The 15,105-nt window shown below is 43.7% G+C and overlaps 1 protein-coding gene and 1 long non-coding RNA gene across 42 annotated transcripts in view, besides 7 other annotated features; one reads left to right on the top strand and one right to left on the bottom strand.

The window, feature by feature from the left end:
* Positions 1,677–2,488: an enhancer, noted in NCBI's record as "H3K4me1 hESC enhancer chr12:46674619-46675430 (GRCh37/hg19 assembly coordinates)". NCBI's record gives its function as "activates a minimal SCP1, AML or CMV promoter by ChIP-STARR-seq in primed H9 embryonic stem cells {active_cell/tissue: H9 hESC(primed)}" and the evidence as "EXISTENCE:reporter gene assay evidence [ECO:0000049][PMID:30033119]".
* On the bottom strand, positions 4,711–14,253 carry LOC105378248 (uncharacterized). Of its 2 annotated transcripts, none has more exons than XR_001749101.1 (2): positions 14,166–14,253; positions 4,711–8,123 (listed from the first exon to the last, which is right to left on the bottom strand). It is a non-coding gene; the product is annotated as an uncharacterized LOC105378248 (long non-coding RNA). The 2 variants fall into 2 exon arrangements; XR_007063282.1 differs by having other exon boundaries at positions 4,711–13,663; positions 14,166–14,213.
* Positions 13,732–13,831: a silencer, noted in NCBI's record as "silent region_4383". NCBI's record gives its function as "represses an Ori minimal core promoter by ATAC-STARR-seq in GM12878 lymphoblastoid cells {active_cell/tissue: GM12878}" and the evidence as "EXISTENCE:reporter gene assay evidence [ECO:0000049][PMID:35858748]".
* Positions 13,841–14,823: an enhancer, noted in NCBI's record as "NANOG-H3K27ac-H3K4me1 hESC enhancer chr12:46662284-46663266 (GRCh37/hg19 assembly coordinates)". NCBI's record gives its function as "activates a minimal SCP1, AML or CMV promoter by ChIP-STARR-seq in naive H9 embryonic stem cells {active_cell/tissue: H9 hESC(naive)}" and the evidence as "EXISTENCE:reporter gene assay evidence [ECO:0000049][PMID:30033119]".
* Positions 13,912–14,091: a silencer, noted in NCBI's record as "silent region_4382". NCBI's record gives its function as "represses an Ori minimal core promoter by ATAC-STARR-seq in GM12878 lymphoblastoid cells {active_cell/tissue: GM12878}" and the evidence as "EXISTENCE:reporter gene assay evidence [ECO:0000049][PMID:35858748]".
* Positions 14,281–15,105, top strand: part of SLC38A1 (solute carrier family 38 member 1) — an 85,981-nt gene continuing 85,156 nt past the window's right edge. For 17 of the 40 annotated variants that reach the window (NM_001278388.2, NM_030674.4, NM_001278387.2 and 14 more), the window contains exon 1: positions 14,281–14,798. The gene's annotated coding sequence lies outside the window, so the exon portion shown is untranslated. Of the gene's footprint in view, positions 14,870–15,105 lie in introns of all 40 variants that reach the window. The other 23 variants (NM_001077484.2, XM_047429588.1, XM_047429598.1 and 20 more) reach the window with 2 other exon arrangements.
* Positions 14,502–14,601: an enhancer, noted in NCBI's record as "active region_6244". NCBI's record gives its function as "activates an Ori minimal core promoter by ATAC-STARR-seq in GM12878 lymphoblastoid cells {active_cell/tissue: GM12878}" and the evidence as "EXISTENCE:reporter gene assay evidence [ECO:0000049][PMID:35858748]".
* Positions 14,652–14,701: an enhancer, noted in NCBI's record as "active region_6243". NCBI's record gives its function as "activates an Ori minimal core promoter by ATAC-STARR-seq in GM12878 lymphoblastoid cells {active_cell/tissue: GM12878}" and the evidence as "EXISTENCE:reporter gene assay evidence [ECO:0000049][PMID:35858748]".
* Positions 14,822–14,881: an enhancer, noted in NCBI's record as "active region_6242". NCBI's record gives its function as "activates an Ori minimal core promoter by ATAC-STARR-seq in GM12878 lymphoblastoid cells {active_cell/tissue: GM12878}" and the evidence as "EXISTENCE:reporter gene assay evidence [ECO:0000049][PMID:35858748]".

Here is a 15,105-nt window from a genome sequence, read left to right as displayed (position 1 = left end):
TTTTGAGTTCAATCTATTTGAGGTTCTTTGACTTTCTTGTGTCTAGATGTTTATATCTCTGCAAGACTTGAGAATTTTTCACCTATGATTTTGTTAAATAGATTTTCTGTGCCTTTGTCCATCTCTTTTCTTATGGAACATTATAATTTGATTTTTGGTCACTTTATGGTGTCCCACATGTCACATAGGGTGTCTATGATTTTCCACTCCTTTTCTTTCTTCCTTTCTTCTTTTTTTTTTGTCTGACTGAGTTATTTCAAAAGATTTGTCTTCAAGTTCAGAAAGTCTTTCTTCAGTTTAATCTAGTCTATTGTTGAGGTTATCAATTGTATTTTTTATTTTATTTATTGAATTCTTTAGTTCTAGGATTTCTGTTTTTGTTTTTCTTTTTTAATGACATCTATCTCTTTGGTGAATTGCTTATTCACATAATGAATTGTTTTTCTGCTTTCTTCATGTTATTTATCTGTGTTCTCTGGTATCTCACTGAGCTTCTTTATTATTTTAAATCCTGTTTCATGCATTTCATAAATTTTTTGATGGAACCTGCTACTGGAGAATTATTGTGTTTCTCTGAATTTATCTTGTTTTGTGGCTTTTCATTTTCATTTTTGTACTTACATTGATATCTACTCAATCTGTTATGACAGTCACCTCATCTAATTTTTTGGTCTGGCTTTCACAGGTAAATATTTTTTCCTGTAGATGTATCTATAGTGTTGGTTGGGTAGGGCACTTTAGCTTTGATTCTGGGTGGATGCAGCAGTGTAATCTCTGTATGATTTATTTGGCTGTAGACAGCATCATGTGATTTCCTCAGTGGCTTAGGCTACAGTTGTTAGTGGAGGCTGTAATGAGGCTTTGCTGGGGATGGGGATACCAAATGGACCTGTTCTAAGGCCCCAGTAGTGGTGGAAGTAGGCCAACATGCCTTTCCTTGAGCTCTTGGGTACAGTTTTAGCTGGTTCTGGGGGGACAATTATTGGGCCTCAAGGTTGCTTGTTTATGTACCAGCAATGACAGGGGTAAGTTGGGTGGGTGGGCAGGTTCTTGGGCCCCTGGACAGTATGCATGGCATCAGCAATTGCAGTAGTGGTGGCAGGCCAACCCTTAGGCTCCCAGTCAGCATACATTAGCTTCAATGGTGGCAGCAATGGGCTGAGTGGGCCTGTTCTCAGCCCTTGTGGTATGGTGCAGGTGGGTGCTGGTGGTGGTGGTGGCAACATGCTGGGCAGGCCCATCCTCAGGCCCCTGGGATGTGTGAGTGCATGTGTGTGTGTGTGTGTGTCTATGTAGTGGTGGTATGCAGGATGTGACAATCCCCATCCCTCTGGACAACATGCTTGTGCAGGTGGGGGTTTGAGTAGTACATGTGGGGTGGGCTTGTCCTCAGGCCCCTGATAATGCGCTCAGGCATGGGCTGTGGTGGGCAGGGTGAAGTGATTTCTAGGCCCCTCAGATAGCATGCCTGGGTGCTGGCAGCAGGCAGTCTGGGCCTGTTATGAGGCCCCTTGATGGTGTAGGCACATATCAGAAGTGGCAGGCAGGGTAGGTTGATCCCCGGGCCCCCAGATGCCACACTCAGGGAATGCAGGGAGCTATGTCAGATAGAAGTGGGCTGTCCTCAGGTCCCTTAATGGTGCACACAGGGGCAACTGTGGTGGCTGGGTTTGGGCATTCTTCAGGCTCCTCTATGGCATTGCATGCTTGGATGCTGGCAGCAGGCAGTCTGGGCCTGTGTTAGGCCCCCAGATGCATGTGTCAGTATGACAGGCAGGACAGGTTGATCCCTAGGGCCCTGAACACTTAGGCACTGTAGAGGGTAGCACAGGGCAGGGTAAGCCTGTTCTCAGGTACCCCAATGGTGCACATAGGCCAGGCTTGGTGGGCAGAGCAAGGCAATCCCTAGGCACCTAGTGGTGGTGGCAGTGAGCAGCGTAAGCCTGTCTTCAGGCCCCAGGATGGCATTTGGGCAGGTCAGTCCTCAGGCCCACTGCAGGCATGTGCAGGTGCATGGCAGGCCCACTACTGGGGGTGTGGCAGAGCAGAGTTGCTGTCAGTGGCCATGGCCTTAGACTCTGGGGAATGCAAACTTCAGCTCTTTTTGTCCTGGTGGCAACTTCTCTGGTGTGCTATGCTGCCCATTTTCTTGGGTGTAGGACACCGTGGGCTAGAGTGCTAGGGACCTGGCCACACTGCTGGGTCCAGTCAGCATTGTGCCACTGCAGCCTTCTAGGCAGACTTGGGAGGGGGTCAGTAGGGCTCCATGAATGCGGAGATGCAGGGATTGTTGGATCCCAGGGCAGGATGCAGTCTTGTGGGGGCTGGGCTCTCAAAATGGCATGGTGCTGCAGCTGCTTGGGTTTTTTTGTTTGTTTGTTTTTGTTTTTGAGACAAAGTCTCACCTGTTGTTAAGGATGGAGTGCAGTGGTGCAATCATGGCTCACTGCAGCCTCGATCCCCCGGGCTCAAGCAATCCTCCCACCTCAGCTTTCCAAATAGCTGGGATTACAGGTGCACACCACCACATCTGGCTAATTTTTGTATTTTTTGTAGAGATGGGGTTTCTCCATGTTGCCCACGCTATTCTCAAACTCCTGGGGTCAACAATCTGCCCACCTTAGCCTCTCAAAGTGCTGGAATTACAGGCATGAGCCACTGCACCTGGCTAGCTGCTTGGGTTTTGAGGGATGTGTGGGACCCAGCACGAACTATCTGTCTGGAACAATGCTGTGGTATGGACCTCAGGCAGTTCCCTACACTAGTCTCAGGGCCTGTGAGGGCTGAGGGGCTTTCCTATGGCTAGCACTGTAGTAGTCCATGGTGGGAATGTGGACCACTGGGAGTCTCTCACTTAACCTTTTGCTGCACCGAGGAGCATCTCCTGGCTCCCAGCTGATGCCAGCCGGACCAGCTGCCTTGCTTCTCTTTCCTTCGATGCCTCAGATGTTCCCTGTCACTTTCCTGATGAATTCCAGTGTTCTCTCATAGACACGCTGTTTGATGTGTGATTATCTACTTGCTGTTTAGGTCCTTTCTTTAGGAGGAGGTGAGTACCTGGTACTTCTGTCAGCCATCTAGAAGCCACTCCTCCGTATCAGGTATTTTTAAATGTTGCTCTTTTAACCCTGTAATTCTACTTCCAGAAATTTATCTTATGGACATAATCAGAGACAGGGACAAAGTATTACACACACTTATACAAAATGAAAATCTGAAATTAATAATTATTGTAAAACTATATGGTAGAATATTTTGTAGTTATTAAAATTTATGTTTTTGAAAAATTTTAATGATATAATAAAATGATCATAATTTAATGTCATATACAAATCTGAAATTGGACATGATTCTGAATGTAAAAAAGACATGCATATAAACAAAATGAACTAAAAATCAACAATGGTAACTGCAGTATATAAATTTATAGATGGTTTTGATTTTCTTTTTTACATTTTGCTGCATTTTCCAAGTTTTCTACAGTGAGAATAAATTAATTTTGCGAGTTGGTGTGGGTACTTAAAGAGTGAATGGGAAATAAAAGTTTTGAAACTTATATTATTAACTATTCTTTGGAAAATCTTGGCTCTTAAATAGAAGAAATACAAAAGCCATAGAGAAAAATGTAAAATCAAGGGATATTTCCTCTCTTTCTTTTCTTGTCTCCCCTTTCTTCTCTTCTCCCCATTTCTTTCTTTCCTTTTTAATGAGAGGTTTGACTACTTTACAGTCAATAGAAATGAGGATGAACATATAAAAGCAAAAAATAAATAAAAGGAGGAAGTTTTCAGAGGAGACATGAATCAGATAAAGAATGTTGCAAAAGGAATTAGCTTGGAATACATTCATTGAATAAATGAATAAATAAACAAATGAAAAAATGCCAAGCTGTAAGATGGTTTTCTAGCATTCTGTTCCTTTTCATCACTGAAAAGGAAAGAGCAGTGCAGTTCTTTTTTGAGCTAAGTGACAAGATTGAATAAAGAGAAATAATTGTTGACTTCATTATTAAGTTGATTTTGTGAAATAGTTCATATCTGAACCACAGTGTTATTCCTAAATACTAATTGTTATAAAAATAGCAAGGAGAAACAACAGAACAAATTAACTTGTAACTTTTCTTTTAAAGTACAAAATTTAATTAGACTCCATTTACAAATGTTCATTTCTTTTTTTTTTTTTTTTTTTTTTTTGAGACGGAGTCCCGTTCTGTCACCAGGCTGCAGTGCAGTGGTGCGATCTCGGCACACTGCAACCTCTGCCTCCCAGGCTCAAGCGATTCTCCTGCCTCAGCCTCCCAAGTAGCTGGGATTACAGGCACATGTCACCACGCCTGGCTAATTTTTGCATTTTTAGCAGAGACGGGGTTTCACCATGTTGGCCAGGATGGTCTCGATCTCTTGACCTCATGATCCGCCCACCTCGGCCTCCTGAAGTGGTGGGATTACAGGTGTGAGCCACTGCACCTGGCCACAAATGTTCATTTCATACCAAGAAAGTGACTTGGAGAATGCTGACACTTATCCAGACGATTCTGGAAGCAAAAACCACACTTACTCTTAAGGAAGGTAATCTTTAGGTGATTGGGGTTCTGAATTTTCCAGATAATTTGCATAAATTAGAAAACTGTTAAATGAGGTATGTTACTTTTTAAATACAGACTGAGGTTTCTTTTTTCCTTTAAAAATGACATTCAATAGGCACTTACTCTTGATGTTTTAAACTTGTAATTTATTCATACAAGATTCCAAAAATAGTTACAGTTCCAAATATTGCTATTCATTTGATTTATGCATATAGCCTACTAAACTTTAAAAATTTAGCTAAATGTATATTTGATATTTCATATTTTTTCAATTCTTCCTCCTCTAAGGACTTGAAATTTAAAAAAAATAAAAGAATTAAAGGTATTTAACTGTAAAAATATTCTGTTTACTCATTTATTCATTCAACAAATATTTATTGAGCTTCTGTTATGTGCTATGTGCTGGGAAACCATTAAGAACATGGCATCTACCTTTGTGAAACTTGCAGATTACTGGGGAAGACAGCGTCTGAATAATTTCAATGTAGGGTAACACATAAGCTAGTTTGGGTTTCAGAAATGGCCTTCTGTGAAAGTAATTTCTAATCTGTAGTAGAGACATTAGGTGCCCAGAAGTGGATGGAGGGAGTCCAGTTAGGAGACTCTTGTGGAAGGCTAAGAAAAGGTTACAAAGTGGACTGCAGGGTGAAAATATTGGAACTTCTGTTTAGGTTACTAGGTTGATGGTGGCCCCCTTCAGCCTGTACATCAGATGGCTCCCTGTCACTTACAGTACTCAAGGTGTCTTGAAAAAGACACAAAGGAATACAGTCGTGCCCTCACTGATTTGTTCTCTTTGGCAGATTTCAATGTATTACAGTTCTGTGTGCTTAGTTGAGGGAATTTATAAATTATATTATCTAGTTTAGTGTGTCTTCCCAAATAGACAAGTAGAGTTAAAAGATTCCTCTAAACTTCAGATTTAAAAAATAATAATAACATGAGCATAAAGAAAGAAGAAAAAGTAGAACTGACACTTCCAGTCCTAATAAGAGCTCTTTTGTCAGCCACAATGTCAGGTATAGCAATGGCCCTCTAACTGTGGAAAAGAATCTGTCAAAACAAATTCAGAATTATGAAGTAGGTTTCATGGGTTCACATTCATAATTATTAAGGATGACCTTCATTTAAGTGTACATTTGCAGACTAGCAATGAAAAATAAGTAAATCTCTGTAAATTAGTGAATGGGATTGAGAAATGAATGGCTTGATTTGGGAAGTATAGCCAATAGGACACTGCCTCCATTGGGTCTCTGTGAGGTCCCTTTTCAGCTATGACAGCCATTACATGAAAGAATCAAAATAAGCCAGAGTTGGAAGTAGACTTGTGAATTGCTGTATCAGAGAGTATTAAACTAAGATTTAAAAAAATGATATAGTATAGTGAAGCAAATTTCTCTAACATGATAATATCTTAGTGACAATTAGGAATATATGTTTAGTAATATAATAAAGTATTGTTATCAAATCAAAAATGTAAAATCTTACCATTTGGATTTTTAATTTTTTGTGAATGTTTTTAATGTATATAATAAATAGGACAGTAATACATATATATTATTGTCAAATACATACATGTACATATTATGTTGGGGAGGTATAATGATGTGGTATAGTTTTAATAAGATGTGTTATCAGTGCCCTTTGAGGGAAACTTCCCCCACAGTGAGCTGTTGGAGGCCCATGCCAGTGAAGGTCGTGAGGATGGAGGAAAGAGAACAGATGTCAGAAATATTTAGGAGATGAAGTGATAGGACTCATGATATTCCTCTAAAAATGTACGCTGGATCATGTCCATCACCTGCTCCTTATTAAAATCCTTAGCATAAACAGAATAGAGTCCAAACAAGGGTCACGTCCTCAGGGAAGTCTTCCTTGATTCCCAGTTCAGAACATGGTCTTCTGTTTCTCTCACAAGAGTCATGCTCCTTTCTGCAGAGCACTTATCTCCACCTGTAACTTGTACATTCACTGGCAAGATCATTTGAGTAATATCGGTCTCTCACTCTAACTCCAAGCTTCACGAAAGACTAGCAGAAGGCCTGGCACTTAGTAAATGTTACTCAAAAGAGGGAATTAATTAGATGTGAAGAGTGAAGGGGATGAGCCAAAATACCCCCATCCTTCTAGCTTGAGCAACTATGCCCATGGTGGTGCCATTTCCCAATATGGTGTTTATGGGAAAAGAAGAGGGTTTGAGTTGTGAAAAAAAAAAAACAAAAAAACAATGATTTCAATTTTAGACATGTTACATTTGAATCAAAAACTTTGAACATTTTATTTTAAGAACATACAAATATGTGTATAAATAACTATAAATATATATCAACAGAAGACTATCAATTCTAAATCTCATTAAATACCCCTTTTGGGATTATGAAATAGCTTCATATGCCTAAAATATAACCAAATAAAGAGCCCTTCAAAATAAGGAACACTGAATATTATGTGGTGTTTCTTATTTTAAGAACAATCATGGGCCAGGCGCAGTGGTTCATGCCTGTAATCCCAGCACTTTGGGAGGCCAAGGCAGGTGGATCACCTGAGGTCAGGAGTTCGAGACCAGCCTGACCAATATGGTGAAATCCCCGTCTCTACTAAAATTACAAAAATTAGCCGGGTGTGGTGGTGTACTCCTGTAGTCCCAGCTACTCGGGAGGCTGAGGCAGGAGAAACACTCGAACCCAGGAGGCAGAGGTTGCAGTGAGCCGAGATCGCACCACTGCACTCCAGCCTGGGCAACAGAGTGAGACTCTGTCTAAAAAAAAAAAAAAAAAACCATGTAGAATGGAAGCTTATTTTAGTAAAGCATGTTACTCTACTGAAGTAATAAATAGAATTCTTCTTCCTAAATACTGCCAGCGGAAAAAAAAAATTTTTTTAATGCTTCTTCCCAAAAGGTACCTTTTCTTTTCTTTTTCTTTCTTTCTCTTTCTTTTTTTTTTTTTTTTTTGAGACGGAATTTTGCTCTTTTTGCTCAAGCTGGAGTGCAATGGCATGATCTCGGCTCACCGCCACCTCCACCTCCTGAGTTTAAACGATTCTCCTGCCTCAGCCTCCCAAGTAGCTGGCATTACAGGCATGTGCCACCACACCTGGCTAATTTTGTATTTTTAGTAGAGAAGGGGTTTCTCCATGTTGGTCAGGCTGGTCTTGAACTCCCTACCTCAGGTGATCCGCCCGCCTCAGCCTCCCAAAGTGCTGGGATTACAGGAGTAAGCCACCGCGCCTGGCCTCCCAAAAGGTACCTTTTCAACAGAAAAGACAAAAACCATGTTTTTGCCTAGCAAGATCTCAGTATAACACAGCGCCCCCTGAGAGTATGCCTTGAACATCCTGGGATGATCCAGCCCTGGTCCTTACCTGAGAGGTCATACTATGCATTTGTGACTTGTTTCAGATATTCCTGTCTTCTGATCTTGTTTTCTCATTTGCATCTTCACTTTGCTTGATGCCTTTCATCACTTTCCTATCGACTTTGTTTCTCTTTGTCTTGGATGAAGATCCTTTTTCCAGCTGTATCACCTTTGGATGTCCACTTATAAATGAGAAAGTAAGGATTATCACACAGGATCAGAACTAAGGAACAGTCAGCCCTGTATCCTATTTCTCAAAGTATCTCTAAGGGCTTATGGAAGTGTTACAGCTGCCCTCAAGTCTACTCAAATGCATATTTAATTTGGACTGTAAATTTATGGATTTATGTTATACTTGCTTTGGAGAAACATTTTAAACATGCTGTTTACCTTTACTTGACTCATTCCAAAGCCTGTGCTTGTAGATCCTGTGTTATTAGGAAACTACTTTGTGCATAATTTTTAGGGTATAGAGTCCCAGAAGTGACACCAATGGTATCTAAGTTCTTCCTACTTATTGCCAAACTGATTTCCAGTAATAATAATTATTAATGACTGAATACTTAAGATATATTGTTAATTATTTTTAATGCTTTACATGTATTAACATATATATTTCACAAAGCCTTATGAAGTAGGTATTATTGTCTATTTCCATTTTAAATATGAAGAAACTGAAGCACAGAGAAGTTAAGTAACTTGCCCAATGTCACAAAGCTAACAGGCTGTAAGAGCCAAGATTAGAACTCAGCAAATTTGGCCCCAGAGCCCACATTCTTAACCCCTAAATTTGCTACCTCACAAAAAGTGGTACCAATTTATATTGCCACCATTAGTAAATACAAATGCTATTCTCCATTTTGGAACACTTCCACTGTTTTTTTTTTTTTTGGGATGGAGTTTCACTTTTGTTGCCCAGGCTGGAGTGCAATGGCGTGATCTTGGCTCATCGCAACCTCTGCCTCCTGGGCTCAATCAATTCTCCTGCCTCAGCCTCCTGAGTAGCTGGGATTACAGGCATGCACCACTACATCCAGCTAATTTTGTATTTTTTTAGTAGAGACAGGGTTTCTCCATGTTGGTCAGGCTGGTCTCAAACTCCAGACTTCGGGTGATCCGCCCGCCTCAGCCTCCCAAAGTGCTGGGATTACGGGGATGAGCCACCGCGCCCGGCCCACTTCTACTTCTTAATTAACACATTCTTATAGGTTCAAAACTTATCTTTCCCACCTTAAAGTTAAGATTGAGAGTTGAATTGGAGGCCTAACTCTTCTTTAATACCTTCTCTCTCCTCATTCCCACTGTAGGAGAAATGGGAGTGGAGGTGTGGGCTTAACAGCTGTTTCAGCATGAAGTGAACATAATAGAATATTTTGTGCCTATAAACTTGGACTTTGAAACTTAATTGCCCCATTTTTATTTCTGCAAAGTGTGCAAAATAATAACAGGTACCATTTATTGGACACTTATTATATACCAAGCATTGTGCTTAGGTATTCTGTAGGCATTGAGTCATCTGATCACCAGATGGATATCTGTATTAGTCCATTCTTGCATTGCTTTATAAATCACCCAGTCTCAGAAACACCTGAGACTGGGTGATTTGTAAAGAAAAGAGGTTTAATTGACTCACAGATCGGCAGGCTGTACAGGAAACATGGGAGCATCTGCTTCTGGGGAGGCCTCAGGGAGCTTTTACTCGTAGCAGAAGCCAAAGCAGGAGCAGGCACTTCACATGGTGAAAGCAGGAGCCAGAGAGTGAGAACAACCAGATCTCCAGAGAACTCACTCACTATCATGAGGAAAGCACACAAGGGGATGGTGCTAACCCATACATCAGAAATCTGCCCCCATGATCCAGTCACCTCCCACCAGGCCCTACTCCAACATTAGGAGTTACATTTCGATATGAGATTTGTGTGGGGACACACGTCCAAACTATGTCCATATCATTTCCCCCATTTTGCAACAAGCTAGGGAGTTGCACTCACAGTTGACCTGCAGAATGTTGCATATCAGACAAGTTAGACATTAAACTTCCAGGACTGATTATTTGGTCCTGGGTCTTTAGTTAACTTGAACAAATGTCACAGTATTGCCATACAGTTGCAATTCCTAATAAACTCCACTCCCAGCTCCCCTAACAGATAAAAAATAAATAAGTGACCTTACAAATATGACTCAGGCCAAAATCAGAGACAGCAGACATTTTTAAAGCATCTCGGGTCAGGTATGGTGGTTCAGGCCTGTAATCCTAGTATTTTTGGGAGGCCGAGGCAGGAGCGTGGCTTGAGGCCAAGAGGTTGAGACCAGACTAGACAACAAAATGAGAATCTGTTTCTACAATAATAATAATAAAGAATAACCAGGCATAGTGGCACGCACCTGTAGTCCCAGCTACTCAGAAAGCTGAGGCGGGAAGATCCCTGATTCCATTTGAGGCTGCAGCGAGCTATTATGATTGAACCACTGCACTCCAACCTGGGCAACAGAATGAGACCTTGTCTCTAAAATTAATTAACTAATAAGATAATAAAAGATAGTTTTGTTCTGGGATTTTAATTTAACTTCAGTTTAGAATCAGTGGGGGTATTTGACCTCTTGCAAGAACCAATTTTCAATCTGGTGAGGTAGAATGTTCATTTCAATGGTGGAAGAGGCAACAACTGCCCCTGACACAGTGCTACCCACCAAGGAATGTTAGGGCACACAGTGCCATGTATCTGCAGAAGGCTGACCAACACAATTTGGGAGCTCTTTTAATTGCAAATGCGCTTTTTCCTATGGCTGCTTTACTAATTTCTAGTGTCAAAATATTGTCATCTATGGATGAGATTCAAAGAACATCAAGGATGATAAAAAGGGTTAATCAGGCAAAGAAATGTGAAAGTCAAGGAAAACCAGTAATCTTAAAGACCATTTGTTGTTTAGGGTAGACCCTATAAATAGGAACAAAAGACTGCAGAATAAACAATTTATTTTCTAGTGAGATTGGATTTGTTCATCTAACAGCTGCAGTGTTTTCTGTTACAAGTAGGAGATATGCAGGACACTTGTTCTGAGATAATCTCACCAGCTGACTTTCCTACTTTTTCATCATCGTTAAAAATCAGATTTTCCACTGATAGTCCTTCACAGATTTTTAAAAAACACTGTATTCAGAAAATAGTTTTGATCTTATTACCCAAAAATTCTTATACAAGAAGACTGCTGGTATCAAACCAGATGTATTTGGAAAGCTTTGAACACCAGTGCAGGAAAACACATATTCTCTGTAAGCGCACAGCTGGTAGTGGCCCCTTCTGCAGCTGTCCTACTGGGCAACCCAGGTAGGGAGCAAGTGCAACCCGGGTGAGTACAGGGTGAAGCTGGGATGAGAGCAGATGTGGCTTAAGCTCAGGCTGAATCCTCTTTGGGGTATAATTGATTTTTCTTCACAAAGCTGCCCCACCTTCCTGGAACCATACAAAAACAAGCTATGGGGGCTACAAGAAAACTCTCAGGTGACCTAAAGCTACCCAATTCTATTTTCATAGTACAAATTCCTTCCCTGGCATCACTTTCAGAGCAGATACAGAATTTTCTCAGTTCCATAGGGCAGTCTGCAGTCAAACCTGGTAATGTGTCCTGAATACCTTAATAACATTGGAAATCTGTTCAAATGGGAAAGGTCCACAAATAACATTAGATACTATCGACAAGTCTCTTGGACCTCACAACCCTATTACTGAGAAAACTAACTCCCTGGACTCTACTGAAATAGGGCAGTGGTTCCTATTCAGAGACAGAGTGGCCCGAGACCCCTTCCACCCACTAACCCTCCAAAGATGGTTATTCCAGAATCAGGGAACGTTTTAGATCCAGCCACAGAAAACTGGCTTACCAGTCAGCTCTGGATGCAAGATTTGGATGTGCCACTTAGGGCTGTGTGGACTTGGGATAAATTCCCTAACCTTTGAGTCAGGGATTAGGATAGGCTGCCCTATCAGGAATGTCATGAGAATTAAACGAGAGACCATCTGTGAAGTGTTTAACCTGCTGTTTGTCTCTCAGTAAGCACACAGTGAATAGAGGAATCATCTAGACATCCCTGGCCTCAATTTGAGAAAACAGCAGCCTCCATGTTGATGTTTACTCTGGTTCTAGGTTGTCAACTAAAATCCAGAGAAGGGGTGAAGATCCTTCTAACTCTAGGCCCAAGAATGTCTGATTGCAAATGGTTGTAGCACCACTGTGAAGACTGAGCACGGATTTTGAATTCAGACCTGAAAGGGAATCGCTTCCCCTTCACTAATTACTGTCTTAGGTGAACATGGCCAATTCAACTTTGTACTTGTTTTCTTAAAGAGGATAATACCCAACTGAGGGATTGAAAGCTTTAAATGAGATATTTACATGTAAAGTCCTTAGCACAATAGCTGCCATATCATAGGAGCTCAGTTCATAACTGTTGATTCCAATTCAAAAAGTGCTAAATAACTGCAGTCGTTTTGATATACAGAAACTAGCAAGTAAGTTAAAATTGGAACCAAAAGACAAGCTTGGTTCAGATAATCTCCAAACAGCGATGAATACACATTCTGCCTTTAATAAGGTAAATATTCCAACAGGCCTATTAAGCTATGGCTCACAGTTCATCTACTTTACCTATTCAGATTTCTTACCTTATTGATAAGAATTATTTGTGCCAGGCAAGGTGCACACTACTTAAAATCATTAATTTCACAATAAATTAGCTTCCTCTAGTAAGGTAGAAAGAACCAACTTTTTGATGACCTATAGAATATTGCTATGTTGTGTGTACTCTTCTCCCCTTTTTCACAAATTTAGAAAACAGGATTAGGACAAAAGTAAAGCAGATGAGGGAAGCAGTAAGTGTCAGAGGAAGAAATTGAATGCAGGTCTGTCTGAGCTAGGCTGCCCATGTGTTTGCCCTTTTGGTTTGCTCTGAACTTTCTGTTTTTCAGTATTTCTCAAGAGCATGCCTTCTAAATAGGATTCTCAGGAAGCCACTGTTGAACTAATAAAGGCCATTTACTGCCATTCGAAGGGAATAAGAAGTTTAGTCCGTGATGAGTTTCAAATTTGGTTATCATCTTGCTTTTCCAGTGGTGATGAAAAAGCAAAATTCACCCAAATACAATGACTACTGTCTACTTGAAACGCTCCAGGTAGTTAATTTTTGAATTATGATTCACCTTCCCTTTCCTGTTTTGATGAACCATGAACAGGAGACTGAACCTTCCCTATCAATAAAAAGCTCGCGTTTCCACCCTGCAAATTCGCGCTATGACAGTCTAATTGGCTGAGGCGCAGGTGGGATTTCCTGTCGCCATTTTAAGACACAACTCCTCTGCAAGCAAGTGCCCAGCCAGTGAAAGGGGGCTGTGTCTGAAACAAAGAGTAAGCGGGAAAAAAGGGAACCAGGCCCAGTTGCCCCTGCTCCCCTCCATGCCGCTCCCTCGTCCCCCGGACTTGGAGCGCCCCAGCTCCGTTAACCTGGACGCACCAGGTCCTTCGGTCGGGACCACGTGGGGTCTCCAGGCCCTCCAAGAGCTGGCCCCCGGCTCTTTGCGCCTAGGCCGGTGCTTTCTCGGTGCTCAGCAAATCCTTCTGGTTCACCTCACACCCAGTCCCCAAAGCAGAGCTCCACAGGGCAGATCTCAGGAAGGGCTGACCAGGTCTGCGGGTGCTGGATCCGGAAGAGGGGAGGTGCCTCCCGCTTCAGGTTAGGGACAAAGGGTTTTTAAAGGTGCCCGAGCTCCCCGCCGCCCCTGCCACTTCGGTCCCCTTCCCGCCAACCCGGGCCATCTGCAGGCTGTGCCCAGGGCCAGCCCTCCGCTCCAACGCTGCCCGTAGTCCCAGGCGCTGCCCGCGGCTCTCCGGGCTGCGCTCGGACCTGCCACTCCCGCGGCCATCCTCATGCTGCGCCCTTCCCACAATGCAACTCCCTCGCTCCTTCGGCCCCGGCGGGGCTCTGGCGTACCCAAAATGCAGGCCCCAGCGGAACGCACAGCCCTCCTGTCCTCCGCCGGTGCCCCTTTAGCCGCCCCACCCCCATCCCTAAGGGCTCTCATTCTCCAGCTGCAGCCGCAGCTGGGTTCCGAACACGCCGCCGGGCCCCGGGAGGGAGAGGGGCAGGTGCCAGGGCGGCGCGCAGCCTCTGCTCCCGGTGCCAGCTTCAGTGCGCCGGGCACACGCGCGCCCCGCAACCCCTCCCTCACCCTTTCCCCGTTGCTCAATCTCCGCCAGCCGCGGTCGCTGCATCGTCAGAGAGCTGCAAGAGGGAGGCAGCAAGGTGCGGCCGCCAGCAGTGACACCATGTGACCGGCACGGCTCACTGACACGCAGCTTTGGTTAAAGAGCGGGCGCACAGGAGGGGAGGAGACCGCGCGCGGGACGGGGAGGAATGGCCTGTCCGCGTTAAACCATCACAAGCCATGGTTGCGGAAGGGCCACGCGTCCCCCAGTAGGAGAATGACTCCGATTCGTGACCCTCAGCGCCGGTGCATGTCGATGTAAGTGCGAGGCCGGCGAGCAGAGTGTGAGTGGGGGTTGGTGGTGAGGGGAGATTCTGATGCAATCGGCCCGGAAAGGAGGAGAGCCAGGCGAGCGCGGACTGGGGCGGCCACGCCACTCCGCCAGAAGGTCGCCAGGAGCCTCCGCCCTTCACCTTCCTCCGAAATCCGCCAGGCCACGCCAAGCTCCCTGCCCAACCCTTACTGACGGGGGCCACATTTTCCCGGCCTCCGCAGCCAGACCTTGACACAAAGGACATCAAACTGCCGAGGGTAAAAACCCCGGAAGGGCGGACACCTCCACATCGCCTTTTGCCACCTTTCCCTTTATTTCCGGAGGTAAGGTGATTATCCGTTCCCGGGGAGGGCTGGGCGAGCGGCAAGGGGAGATTTAGATGTCGGAGGAGGAGGTAACGTAGAAATCATCTCTGCGGGCGTGAAAGCAGAGAGAGCTCGGCTGTGCCCGATGCTTTCGGATGTTGCTTTTAGGAGAGGAAAAGTCCAGGTCTCCTGTGCTTCCCGAACGCACGCGGCAGCGGGAGGAAGCGCCAGGGCCCCCGAGTTCACCTTTGCGTGGGCTGTGGCTTACTTTTTGGTTTGTTTTCCTGTGACTTTGGTGTGTTTTCCTGTGGCTGTGGCAGAGTGT

Source organism: Homo sapiens, chromosome 12 (genome assembly GCF_000001405.40).
Source record: "Homo sapiens chromosome 12, GRCh38.p14 Primary Assembly".
In the NCBI taxonomy this organism is placed as follows: Eukaryota; Metazoa; Chordata; class Mammalia; order Primates; family Hominidae; genus Homo; species Homo sapiens.
This window is presented reverse-complemented; position numbering and strand designations above follow the sequence as displayed.